We start from the raw sequence: 13617 nt of genomic DNA, 5'->3' as shown, positions 1-13617 counted from the left end.
TTTCTAGGCAGTTCACAGACTTGTTGCTTCATTTGAAATCCTGCTTCAGCATGTCCTCAAGACAGCGATATTGAATTATGATACCCTCTTACATGTTTTATCTTTTAATATCCTCCTTTCAAATTTGCATGATGGATAGAGTGAACATTGACTTTTCCTGTGGCTTTCTGGAGAATGTAGCATGATGCCTTGTGAAATACTAAGTTGGGTGGTGTGAGACCAAGGCTGAGTTTTCATGGCCCTGCTCACCCTTGTTCTGACTTCCCTTGGCCAGCTTCCTGGAAGATCTTGCTTGGAGCTGTTTTCCTTTCATGGCCAGCACAGTGCAGCCGAGTGGCAGCATTAGCACTAGGGACCTTGCTATTGAATAGATTCTCTGGAGCCCCTCGATTGCTAAGCCACTTGACTGCTCCCCCATTTTCATAACCACCACATGTCAATTGTACCTTTACTTTGCACTTATTCATTCTGCCTCATATCATAGTTTTCCTTTCAATTTACATACATACTCATCCAATAACATCACCTGCGAATCTGTTACGTGCAAAGGGTTTGCACACCTGCCTCTCCAACCCGAAGAGAGCAAGCATCCCCTTTTATTTCTTTCTCTTTTATTCTCCCCACTGCTCGGCAGCAGAGGATGCTCCACTGGTGCTGGTGGCATTGATCTGAATTTTGCACAAGACTCAGGGGAATATGGATCAAGCTATTCAGGGGCCTCACAACAGCTTGAGCCACTGGACACACAGATTGTCAGCCCCTGTGACCTCATCATAGTCAGGAGCATGAAAACCCAAGGCAGAGAAACCTTCTTGGGACCTGTGCCCTGCAGCAGCCTGGGCTGCCACTCTTGCATGACACAGTCCCCTTGCCCCACCCCTTCATTTGATTCCACGTTCTTGTTCTCGGGCAGACAAATCCGACAAATATTTAGACAGAGTGGATATAAAAAGTGCTTTCAGCAGCTACCACTTCCTTTCAAGAGCTGTTTAGTGAAAAAGAAAATATATATGAATAGTTCCCCTCACACTGAACTCAACAGGCGCCGGTCTTGGGCCTCTTGATGACAAGGCTGACAACCTCCCCTCGAACCAGACTCCATCCACGAGTTGTAAAACTTGGGCTGCTGGGGGGAGAGGGGAGACACACACATAGATGGAAGGGGAGCCTCTGAGGAAGGGAGTGGGTGGTGGGTGGGGAGGACTGGAGGACATGCTTCCCTTAGCCTCGAGATAACAAGCTCCACACATCACAGAAGAGGACACACCACTGGGAGAGCTTGAGTGTAGCTGATGAAGCGGGGTCTTGTGAATAAAAGTCTGCTGTATTTAGTTTTGGAAATGAGCACTGGCCCATATTCTCAGGCCCTAAAGTAATCTAAGGGGGACCTGATGGAAATCAAGCAGTCAACTTAAAGCAAGTGCAGTGCCCTCTGACTCTTTTTCTGCTATTTTTTGATTGCTTTTCAGGGAGTCAAGTTCATTGGCATTTAGAGAGTAGGGGTTCAATGGACAGAGGTGGTAACATGGACTGCCAAGGGGAATTTCTAGGAACCTTATTTTAATTTAAAAGCTATGGTGTGACCCCATTTGGGAGGTCATGGCAAGATCTTTAGAGACTCCAAACAATGAAAAGATTATGTCCTCAGCCCCATGTAGTTCCAAATAAAGACATCATTAGACCATGAAGTAATCGTGAGAAAGTCATCAGAGTTTTGCTTTTTCCCATGAAGATTATTTTGATTTTAAAAAACATACAAAAATCCAATTCTTTCAAGAAGTGTTTTTCTGTTTGTCTAATACCACAAACAATGGCTGTTTTGACCCCACCCCCACCCCCCCGCCCACAGCCCGCCCCCTTAAGCTGGTGGATAATCTGAGCTGGCTCTTCTTCTCATGATGTTTGTGGGTTCACCTTGAACCTCTCACCATGCTCAAGCTGGATGACACTGTCACCCTTACCCAGTGCCTCAGCCCACTGGGTGCTGTCCCTCCTTCTTCTCTAAGACGCCCATCTCCCGGCCCCTACGTGTGACCACACTGACCTGTCTTGAAGATCTCGTAGCGCAGAGAGAAGCCTGCCCCCTGCCGGGCGTAGTCGGAGGTGAACTTGATGTAGAGCATGGAGCCCGAGGAGATGATGGTGGGCGGGGCGATGTTCCCACAGTGTTTGCCCAGGAGGTCTGCGGATTCACTGTCCCCATCCCGAATCTCGATAAAGTCATACCTGGGTGGGGATGGCACAGACAAGAAAAGATCACTCGAAGGACATGAGAAGGACCACTGTGTCGCTCCCACTTATGTCTCTCTATTCATTTGCAGAAGTTAAGGTGTTTCAGATGGATAAGCGAAGGGCACTTATGTCTGCTTGTACAGACTGGCAAACAGAGATACTGCAGGTCGTTGTGCTTTGTGAAAGCCACAGAGTGAATAAACACATGGCTGGAAGGCCTTATCTCTTGCCCACGTAAGAGCAGGAGCATCGTTCTATCAAATATCACAAAACACATTTTTTTCTTCCTTCAATAGCACCATTTTTATTTCCATTATGCTCTCTCAGAATCTTAGTCTCTCCTTCTTAGCTCTGTGACATTGCAAGCTGCTGAACCCCTTTGAGCATCAATTTCTTCATCTGTAAGATGAGGATAAAAATATCCACTCCACAAGGCTGGGGAGAAGATAGAATGAAAAAAAATATATATGTAAGGGGCTAGGCACTGTGCCAGGCACACGGGGGATGTTTCAGAGACATTTGTTTATTTTCCCATCTCCCTCCAGCCCCCTGTTTCAATTTTCCCCTGGGCCATCCCTTCTTTAATTGTTAGTGACAAAGACTCCCCACCCGTGGGCCACCGCCTCCCTAAGATGACTCTGCGAGGTTCCCATCAGCAGTGTCTAGTCAACATGTGTTCTTAAAAGGAATCAGCCTCATGTTAGATAAGGCGATAAAAACCTTTCTCCAAAAGCAGGGGTGAGTCTCCAGGGGCCCACTGTCTACGTGCACACAACTATTAGCCTCAGTGAGAGGCAGGGCAGGCTGCCCTCCTGAAGTGGAGGCCTGTGCTCATTTGAAGCAGAGTCAAACTGGCCAGGGCTGGGAAGCAGGCACCTCAAAGATACCCTTGGCTCCGTTCATGGGAAGGTGCAAACATAATGCACCATTTTATCTTGACAGACACACATTTTCCAGCCCCGGTATGTGCTCTGGCAGTCCTCACTGTGCTGCGTTTGTGCTGCTTTTGGGCTCCCAGTTAATACTCCTGTCACAACTGCTTAGGTGGGAAACTTCCTCCCACCAGCTCCCTTCCAACTGCTGGCCGCTGCACCATTATTTACTGAAAACCATCCATCTCCCTCTCCCTCCCTTTCTGTTTATTTATTTTGCATCAACCTGTTAAAGCAACACTTAAGAAATCTCTTCCTTGCGGGTAAGGAGAGGGCTGGGAATGCACCCTTCTGTGGGATGTGCCTGCCAAAGGATCCTGTCACATACAAGGATCTGGGGTTGCCGGCTGCCGGAAGGAGTGGCTGGTGTGAGCTGGGGAGGCCTGAGGCCTCACTTCAGCCCCCAGGAGCTATGTTACTTAGCCACTTTCAAATAATAGGCCTGTAAAGGAAGTCTAAGGAGTGGGCCAGGATTAATTCATTCTTAGACCCCACAGGGCTGGACTCCCACAGTCCAAAAAGAACCGCTGAAGCTCCTTAGAGTCTGGAGAAGTCAAAATGGCAGTTTCAACCCCCAGGGAGAAATGGAGAGATGGTCACAGATTGAGAAGACCGTGAGGTTGGGGAATCTGTTTAGGTCTGTGGTTTCAGTGTGGGAGATGGTGCTGACTTTGAAAACATGCTTCCTCATTTCCAAAACAAAAGTAAAAAGACGCTTCATTTGTTCTCAGGGGAAACTCCCAAACCTTCCAGAAAACCCCTCCGTGCTATTTTCACACTAAGGCAAGCACTGCTGGACAGACACATTCCTGTGAGCAATGGTGATGCCCTGGCAATGTGCACAAAGGTTGAGAGGCTCTGCTACCCATGTTCATTAATCAGACAACTCATCTGGACTAAGAAATGCATGGCCCAGAGCGCAAGAGTCCCAATCCCAGAAGCAGACAGAGCTGGGCTTGCACCCCAGCTTGGCCACTTTTTAGCTGGGTGACCTCAGGCAAGTTACTGAACCTTTCTGAGCCTCAGAAATGGGGAGAAAAAGAGTAAAGTAGGGATATTACAGTCTTCTCCTAGGGTTGATGTGGGACTTAAATGACAAAATCTAATCTATCTAAAGTGTTAGTCCATAGTCTGGCACTCAGTGAGTGCTAAGTAAATGTGAACTGTGATTTGTTGTATTTTCACACCCATTTCACAGGCAAGGAGGCTGAGCCACAGAGCAGAAGCGACCCTGTTTTCAGAAATGGAACAAATGAGCAGAGGTGTAGTATCAGCGGGAATGGAAATCTGTTCAAACATTCTGAAAGGCATTTTGGTGAAATGTGACAGAAGTTAATATGTACATAGCCTTTAATCCAGCAATCCTACTGCTAGGAATTTTTCCTAAGAAAATAATCAGACAATTGTGCAAAGATGCATATGCATCTTTGTGCATATATTTTGAAAAAATATAAAAAGTGGGAGGATATTTTGCTTATAAATGGTTTCAAAGCCCAACCGTAGAGGGAGGGTGAATCCATCTGGGATATTTATAAAATGGAATACTCTCCTGCTACAATCAATAGTCTGCAGGTCTAGAATTTTTTGTTTTTATGGAAAAATGTTCACGCTATACTGTTAACTTTTTAAAAAGGAGATTTTTTAAAAGTATGTTTTAAAAGGTATACATACATTTCCTCACATAAACATACAGAGGAAGTCTGAAAGACTACTAAAATATGAACAATGGCGACAGACATGGGTGGTAGGATAATTGGTAATTTTTTCTCTCTTCTTTGTAAAAGAATCCAGCTGTCATGATTTAGCAGATGTAGAAGGAAGTTCATCATCATCACCATCATCATCCATGTCACAGAACTGGAGTGAGGAATAAATGAGACACAGTAGGTCGGGACATCTGGAACAGTGCCAAGGACATGACCCACATTCAATAAATAATTTTTTAAACTTTTTTTTTAAAGCTTCACCAGATAGTTCCAGTCTTTGTGTTGCCAATTTCTCTAGGAAGGACAAAGAGAGGCCCTGCCATCCCACTGGCTTGTTCATCAGAAGTGAGAGGGTTTTATCTGGTTGCCTAATCACCCATGGAGTCATTTAGGGGATTAACAGAATCAGCAATGAAGCAGGGCTGCCCAACAAATGCCACTGTTACAAGCTTGCCTCAATTTACTCAACGGATACAGACCACCCCAAATCCCTTCTTGTAATGCTGCCTGCAACAAATACATCCTTATGTATCTAACACACATATAGAGAAGGGATGCATTTTTGAAAAAGCTTCATATAATTCAATCATACTATAAATTTTTTCTCTGAGCTTGTTAGTTAAAGGACCCCTCTGCTGAATCCTTTTGTGAAGCAAATAATCAACAAACCTTACTTGAACTTCTTAGAAAAACTAGATTTTTCTATAAGGTTTGCTTGAGGGGAAGTGACACAGAGTTACAGTTCGGCAGCTGAAATCCCCCCAACTTCCAGTCTTCTGGTTCTGCCCTGTGGACAAGCCCCACTTAACCACATGGTCTTCTGGCTGGGCCTTTTATATAAAGGGCACACTCCAAATGACATGCTGACTTCATACAGAATGTCTCATTTACCTCCTGTGTGACTGACTCATTTGGGGAAATTTTTTATTATGAGGGATTTGCTACAGCTGGAGTAAATCTCCTTAGAAATTTCAGTGTTGTCAGGTTCATTTGTGAAGAGTTAGGCAGAGGCTTAGGAAGTTTCTGGCTTTGGAATAAATACGGCTTTGCATCTAGTGTCTAATATCCAGTGTTTGGTAAAGGAATCCGGGGTACAGACTCAGAGCTCACCCCAACGATAGTCAAGTAGGATAACTTGAAAAGCTGCTCCTCTTAGAACGTATCACTCGTTTTCCAGAAGGCAACATAAACCAGCTAACAGACATATTAACTAGAGTGTTTGCATTTCATTATCCATAATCTCTCCTAAACGAAAAATTCCTTTCAAAGCTTTAACACTACCTTGTATTGTTTTATTTATTTTTTTCCTGAGCTGAAGTAGCCATCTCTACTCCCAGTTCTTTATTTTCTCTCTAAAACGGTTCCCCGAGTGCCTTTTTATTTGTCTCCTCACAGATTCTGAAGTCTGCATGGTGAGCATTTGTCTAGAGAATGCTTTCTCTACTTTCTTTCTCAACTTCAAAGTCTTACATTTCTCTCCCCAAACCTACATTTGGGCCATGGGAAATTTTGACAGTGAAGTTAATTTTAAGAGTCCACGGGAGAGATATGAAAAAGCAACAATCTCATCTCTTCCTCTCATCACTAGGCAAACATGAAAAAGGGCTTTCTAGTTTCCATAACTGTCTCCACGCTTGACACTTCCCAGCAGGGCACCAAAGGCTGGGTTAGTCAACGGAGCCTGTGCTGGAAGATTCACCAAGCTTAGGTCCTTCTCTCAGGGCACCGAAATGTCTGGCCCTTGTCAGAATCCAGCTTTAGGGATGCCACACAGAACCACTTGGAAGGGGATTTCTGTATCGAAGATAGAGTACTTAGGTCTTCGGAGGAAGAATACTCTGCCCCTTCTTTTGGGTCTACGTATCAGAACATCTCTGCCCAAGTCCTGACATCATAACCTTTGCCAACCAAGCAAGGCCTCCTTTCACACTGCTCATCATAAGATCATAAGATGTTGAAGACATTTTGTATATGGTGAGCTCTTTCCAACCCCAGGGCCTTTGCAAGCGCTCTTTCCTCTGCCTGCAGTACTCCTCATTGGTGCTTTCCAGGGCTGGTTGTTGCTCATCCTTCAGGCTTAAGGACAAATGTTACCTCCACAGAGAAGCCTGCTGTCACCACCCTATTTCAGATGGCATGCCCTTATTCTCTATCTCACCATCATCTTACTTCTTTCATAGCTATGATTATAATCTGGAAAGGTCTTGTCAATATACCTATTTGTTTATGATCTGTCTCCTGCACCAGACAATAAGCACCATGAAGGCAAGGACCTTGCCTCTTCACTGCTGAATTTACGACACTTCCCTGGTGCCTGGCATGTAGGAGGTCTCATTCACTTTTTGTTGAGTAAATAAATGTAAATGAATAAGGGACTTCAGGCTGGTGTTCCATGTTGAGAAGAATGCGTGCTACGATGATGCTTTCCGTGGAGTTTGATCCATTTTATACTCTCTGTCTTTGTGCCCCAACACATTTACTGAGCTATTCTGGTTGTATCTGAAAACCAAAATGTTGCCTTGTGACTCAAAAACATGAAATATAACATTTTGAGTGGAAGAAACATCTCAAATCATGCTGACAGCATTTTCACTATTAGCGGCAAACAAATCAACTATAATTAAAATGCTGTCAAAGTGATTTGAGATTTTTCTCACACTTTCAAAGTTCCATATTTCATGAGTAGATTATCCAGGCCAGAGAATTTATCACCTCCTGGAGTGCCTTTCTTCCAGGAGGCTCAAAGACATCTACAAACACTGTCTTATTAATCCTTACATTAAAACCTGTGAGGAAATTAGGAGGAAAAAAAACAGCACTGTCACATACAACTTCCCAACAAAGAAGCTGCACGATGTCTAAAAAGGCTGCAAGGCAGATCTGCACAATGCTGAGGTCTCTGGTCGGTTCAGGCCTGAAGCCAGGCCACCTGCTCCTTAGGCTCAGTACAGTCACCTAGCCTTTATGGAGAAGTCAGCTCACTGTCAGGTCAGACTTTTTAAAGTAAATTTCATTTCCTTGAATTTCTGCCTTGCATCTGTACCACCCATTTACTAAAAAGCTGGTATATCTGCAAACTGTTCACATTTTATTGAGCATTTACTATGGGCCAGGCCATTGATTCAGATATTATTTCATTTAATCCTCATTTCATCCAAACCAGGCCCTGTTACAATTACCATCCATTTGCAGATGCAGACATCGAGGCTCAGAGCAGTTAAGTGACCTGCCCAAGGTTACATGAGGAGGAAAGGTCAGAGACAGGCATTGAACCCAAGTAGTCAAACTCCAGGGCACAGAGACCTTCCCTTCCTCCCTTTGTCTCCTTGTGGGAGGAAGATCTGAGGGCAATGAAAATACCGGATTGCCATAGCACAATAGCATTAGCAGGTACCAGGTGTAAAGAATCCTTAGGGCCTCAGTTAGGTTTCCACAAAATGGGTGTAAGATATGTAAGAGACTTAACAGAATCTTGCTCTTTTGAGTTGTTCTGTTTAAACAAGGCTGAAGGACTTACCAAAATTAATAGACAAATCACCAACAGGAAAAGTGAGCGGATTTGGAATCCATGATTTCAAGACTCACCCAGCAGAAATCTAGCTTGTAAGAGTTCAGATGGGATAACATATTAATTTTTGTAAGTGGAGTATTTTTATAAGCACATATATATCCATATGTGAACATATGGCCCATGGAGTGAGAAAGCAGCATCCCATATATTTATAAGCTCTTAAGTTATCATCTAGAGCACATATTCTTAAATGCGGGGATTTCTCCTAGGGCCTACACACAAGTGTAAGTGGGTTGGGGAAGCTCTATCTTTGTTTGCCGAAATTTTGTGTTTGTGAGTAGGCACATTTTTCTAGGGAAAAGGTCTGTGACAAAAGAAACGTTAAATTACTGTTAACGGAAACATACCTAAGAGGGTGTTGTGTAACCTGGGAAGTGTAGCATGTGGGCTTTGTGGACAGACCCAGTTACTTTCTGGCACTTGCTCATGGTGTGATTACAGACAAGGTATTTAACCTCTCTGAGTTTCAGTTTCATCATCTACAAAATGGACATAATAACAGTCTCCACCTTTGCGGGTGGTGGCAGGATTGCGAAGGTACATGCAGGCCCAGCACAGTGCCAGATGCCTTAAGGAAGCACCTGAGAGCCCCTGGCTATTTTTATTATTACCAGCATAAAACAAAACAGGATGGTGGATGTGGAGAAGAGAAGAGTTACACACACATGACACCTTGGGAGCCAGACAGGAGAAGATGAAACGAAAAGCACAGTTAGAGGCAGTCTCAATACCCTGCTTCTTGGGGCTGGGTTTCTAAAAAATCATCCCCCTGCACAAATCCATCAACAGTGTTTCAGACACTTGAGTTTTCGAGATTTTATTTCAAACTTGTGTTTCTGAGCCCAGGCTATGTTCAAAACCACCCGTCCTCCATCTGCTGTCTTAGATAGCAAGGTGCTCAAGCTCCCAAGAGGCTGGTGAGTTAATGCATATCAATGGGTCAGCACAGTGTATGGCACACAGTACATGCTCCATGAATAGCCATTTGTTGTTACTGCTGCTGTTATTCTTGTTTGCTATTTAACGCCAAGGGCTCAAACAGTTACCAAACTCTGTATTTGTTTGGGTATCTGCATCAGTACCAAGCGCCTTTTTAATAGTGGCTGTTTGCAGTTGTATTTTCTTCCTTCATTTCTTCCCACCACAAATCGCTGATATTTTGAGCTTCTTATCCACAATCCCCTCACAACCAGGGTCACCATGGCTCTTCAGAAAGGAGGAAGTCTGACCACCCACCAAAGGAAGTACACGGAGAGAATAACCCAAAACAAACTGAAGGAATTATTCCAAAAAACCTTGAAGGCAAGAAAATGGAAACGACAAATAACATCTATTTATAATTGCTGGCTCTTTTTCCGCAAAGGCCCTGCGATGATGGTGAGGGCCCCGCCAATCTCATTGTTCCTCATGGAGCAGGCTGCCAAGAATGCCTCCTGACGTGAGGAAGGAGGCCACTCCAGACAACGCATCTGATAAGTCTCTCTGAAGGTGAACTTTCAGAGAATTAAGGGCACGCAACAAAGCCTCCCCAACTTCTGCACTGGTCCTTTGGGTGAATACCATTTCCCTCGCTGACCTGGCTGGCCAGCAAGGCGCATTCCTGAGGCCGTGTGGTCACGGGTCTGCTCTGCTTCTGGACCAGCACACACACTGGAGGCCACTTGGATGAAACATGTTTGCTTATGTAAGGAATGGTTTTCTAGGCAACCGGTGCCAATGTGAAGTTTAAGGCTTTGGGGGCAGGCTGCTTTCAGCATGAGTGTTGGGTCTTTCGTTGGTCTGCTCTGTGTCTATAAAATCCTCACCCTCTGCAGTCAACTTAAAGGGCCCCTTGGTAGCATTCTGGAATGATACCAGAGTGCAAAGGAAGAGTAGTCCACAATTTCTTTCCATTTCTGTTTTTCTCAGCGGCAGCAGCAGCACTAGCAGGTGTAAAGGTGAATCCCAGCAGGGCCAGGACTTACTAAATTTTCCTACGCTGGCCTGGATCAATCATGCTTGTGTGCCTCAGTTGGCCTCATTTGACAAAAGGGAACAGGAATCATGCCTTTGTGCCCGGTGGGGCTGCCTGCATGGGTGGTCACTGAAGGGCAATCAGAGCACAGCGTCTGGGGCCCCTGGTGTGCTGGCAGTGCCCCTTTACTCGGCAGGGTGAACAGTTCCCTCCGGAATAGGTGTTCACACTAATTCTGGCTCCCAGGGGATCCAATTGTGAGGGCAAATCATAACTTCCCCGTCTGTCCAAAAAACGGGAGCCTGCTGGGAACGGAAGTGTACTGGGCACCAGGGAATCCACCACAGCAACAGAAAAGTCCTTTTTGTTTTTCCAGGGATTTAGGCTCCATATCATTTTTCTATTCCTCTTTGCTGGCATCCAGCCTCCCTAACAAAACTTGGAAGATGCAAAACTCATCTGAAAAACGTGCCATGCAGAAATCCAAGTAGGGGACAGTTTGGGAGTAGGTGGCAGGTGTGATGGGCCTCCCTTTTAGAGTTCATTTACTTGGAGCTTCAGATTACAGAGCTTGGAGCTTCTCCTGGCTCCAGGGGCAAACTTGTCACTACTGTGCAAAAAACACCATGGTGTGGAAATGATGGGCCTGCACTAATGTCCAAGCAGGAAAGGGCTGCTGCCACGCCAGGGCGGAGATTCTGAATCTAGCACTCAGGGGCCAGTCAGCTGGAACCGCTTCCGTTTGTGACTATGCTTTCGACAGCTGCATTCTGAAGCATCATGCTGCACAGGCAGCCCGGGCCATGTGAGGCATGTTAAAGCATTCACCTTCTCTCCCCATCCCAGAAATGCCCTTTCCATTCTGAGAGAACAGGTTGGGGTTTGTTGGGGGTGGAAGAAGCAAGCATTTAGGAATGTTGGGTGCTCCTGGCTAGAGCCTCATAAGACCATGAAGAAAGATGTTTAGAAAGGACATGAGCTTCTACAAGAAAGGGAACCAGATTACAGGAAGTCTCTAAGCAGGATGGGAGCTGTGTGAGTCAGACCTTGAAGGATCTTTATTCATCTCACAGCCAGAAGCAGGCTGTTTGTTTTGCGCACAGAGCTTCTGGCTGGTTGGCCACAATATTGTAGCGACCAGTGGAGGCCCTGGCAGTGTGGGAGGAGGCATCAGTGCCGGGGATGAGCTTCAAGAGCCACGTGTGTATAAAGGCCCAGGCAGTGAAGAGTACAGCAGAAAAGGCCCCCAAGAAGATAACTCAGTACCCCACCATTTAACCCAGCAGCCTGCCCTGAGGCTTGGACTAAATCTTGTATCTGCTTGGACCTCAGTTTCCCAGCAGATGACCCCCCAAAATAATAGTTTCTTACCCTCCTACCACTCTCAAAAGATGACACATAGATAAATCGCTTTGAACTTTTAGATGAAAGGTGCTGTATAAACCTGAGGTCTCATCAACTGTAATTGTTACAGTAATTATTTTAATGATAATAATGATGATAATGGGAGAGGGGGGTCGGGTGGGGACGAAACCTCCTACTTTGAGACAAAGAAAATCTCTTCCATTAAAACCTGCATCACGAATCCTTCTGCTCCAAGCTCTCAACCATCTCTTTCAAACTGCCAGTTCCTGGGCTGAAATATTATTTATTCCTTTCCTTTCCAATAAAACAATTATTTGTTCCACCATTTCCCCCCTCGTTCACTCTCCGGTGTGTCTGGCTTCGTCCTGACAGCTCGGCCACGGACTGTTTACATGTCTCGCTCACCCTCCAAGACTCTGGTTCAGCTCCATTGACACTAAAGGCAGGCGAATTCTCTCGGTGTGAGGAATCAATTACTTCCGCTGACACTCTATTACTGGCCCTCACATCTTTGGACTCCAGATGGAGAGTGAAGGTGGTGGTGAGGATGGCAGGGAATTTGAAGAGGATGGTGAGCGGGGCTGTGGGGGGATTGGGGGAGTAGGAGGTAGGTGACAGGGAGGCAGAGAGAGACGATGGACTGAGAGGCCTCTGGCTTGTATTTAAAGACACAGAAAGAGATCTCTCTCCTTGACTGCCCCGCTGGCATCCGGAGGTGACTGCATGGCAGGAAGAGGCAAAGAAAAGGAATAAAAAGAGAAAAGGAAAAGAAAAGGCTTGTCAAGGATATCTAAAGAAATCAGAGAGGCCCCAAATACCTAAGCACTGGGACAGCAGATGACAGCTCCAAGCAGATTGACACAGGTATACAAAGGCAGCTTTGGGCTGCCTGGCTTCAAACCCAGCCCCACGATTACTATCTGTGTGATCTCTCAGGGCCTCAGTATCTACATCTGTTAAATGGGATAATAGTAGTACCAGTACCAGCTGTGGCGGTTAAACATAGAAAACTTAGGGTAGGACCTGATGTCTGGCAAGAGTTCAATAAATGTTTGCTATTGTTGTCTAATTTTGAGAGTTCCTCCACGTGACCCACAAACATACAGTTGAGTCCCCAGTGGGAAAAAGTAGAAAAATATTAGAGACTGCCAAGATGCTTGGCTACAAAGCTCGAAAAGAGGCATAAAAAAAGTCATGCTTTTCTGCTGCCCTCCCAAACCTAAGCCCAACTCACATTTCTTTCTCCTTTTCCTTTTCCTTCTTCTTTTTAGAAAATTTTATTTTGACCCAGCTAACATTTTTCAGGGATTCTCCTTCTAGGAAAAAAATTTTGATTATGTAAATTAAATACAACCATCTACTCTGCAATCAACTGAGATGAGTTGTGAGGCACGATGTCCCATAATGAAGGACGATTACAGAAGCTCTTTTCTGGAAGGAAAGACAAGGGCAGCTGATATCTTTTTTTTTTTTTTCTGGAATTATTTATCCAGGCAGAAGTATAAGAATGGAATTAAATTATCTTTTGAGTTTCTCTTAATCCAAAGGCTTAAATCCCTTGCCAGTAAAAAGGACAAAACAAAAAGAATATAAATTTTTTTCTATAGGACTCATGACTCCAGGAAAATACACAAATCCCTTTTTAGAAAAATCTGATGTTTTCACTTGGTATATTTCCATCTCTTCTTTATCCCCTCCACACCTGGAGCTCCCACTGAATTTCTTAAGACAGACTCTCAGCCGGTGTAATTAGATGGGAGAATTACATGGAGTTACATGGGGTGAGATGCTGGCCCTCTGGGATCTCTGGGTTCGGAGAAGGTGCCAGGGTGGAGAGGCAGAACAAGTGGGATTGTG

The 13617-nt window shown here is 45.0% G+C and overlaps 1 protein-coding gene across 16 annotated transcripts in view, besides 4 other annotated features; it reads right to left on the bottom strand.

Annotated features, from left to right (window-relative positions):
- The window catches only part of NRP2 (neuropilin 2), a 115631-nt gene that overhangs the window by 79713 nt on the left and 22301 nt on the right, over nucleotides 1-13617 (bottom strand). For all 16 annotated transcript variants that reach the window (XR_007083522.1, XR_923057.4, NM_201266.2 and 13 more), the window contains one exon: nucleotides 2045-2226. Coding sequence is in view for 14 of the 16 variants with exons in the window: in NM_201266.2 (NP_957718.1) it covers nucleotides 2045-2226 (182 nt within the window). In the remaining 2 variants the exon portion in view is untranslated. The remainder of the gene's footprint in view (nucleotides 1-2044; nucleotides 2227-13617) is intronic.
- Nucleotides 9065-9224: an enhancer, noted in NCBI's record as "active region_17021". NCBI's record gives its function as "activates an Ori minimal core promoter by ATAC-STARR-seq in GM12878 lymphoblastoid cells {active_cell/tissue: GM12878}" and the evidence as "EXISTENCE:reporter gene assay evidence [ECO:0000049][PMID:35858748]".
- Nucleotides 9516-10292: an enhancer, noted in NCBI's record as "H3K4me1 hESC enhancer chr2:206572851-206573627 (GRCh37/hg19 assembly coordinates)". NCBI's record gives its function as "activates a minimal SCP1, AML or CMV promoter by ChIP-STARR-seq in primed H9 embryonic stem cells {active_cell/tissue: H9 hESC(primed)}" and the evidence as "EXISTENCE:reporter gene assay evidence [ECO:0000049][PMID:30033119]".
- Nucleotides 11168-11467: an enhancer, noted in NCBI's record as "active region_17020". NCBI's record gives its function as "activates an Ori minimal core promoter by ATAC-STARR-seq in GM12878 lymphoblastoid cells {active_cell/tissue: GM12878}" and the evidence as "EXISTENCE:reporter gene assay evidence [ECO:0000049][PMID:35858748]".
- Nucleotides 11678-11817: an enhancer, noted in NCBI's record as "active region_17019". NCBI's record gives its function as "activates an Ori minimal core promoter by ATAC-STARR-seq in GM12878 lymphoblastoid cells {active_cell/tissue: GM12878}" and the evidence as "EXISTENCE:reporter gene assay evidence [ECO:0000049][PMID:35858748]".

The sequence above is a fragment of the Homo sapiens genome, chromosome 2 (genome assembly GCF_000001405.40).
Source record: "Homo sapiens chromosome 2, GRCh38.p14 Primary Assembly".
NCBI classification, from domain to species: Eukaryota; Metazoa; Chordata; class Mammalia; order Primates; family Hominidae; genus Homo; species Homo sapiens.
The sequence above is the reverse complement of the archived record's forward strand: the minus strand, read 5'-3'. Positions and strand labels throughout refer to the sequence as shown.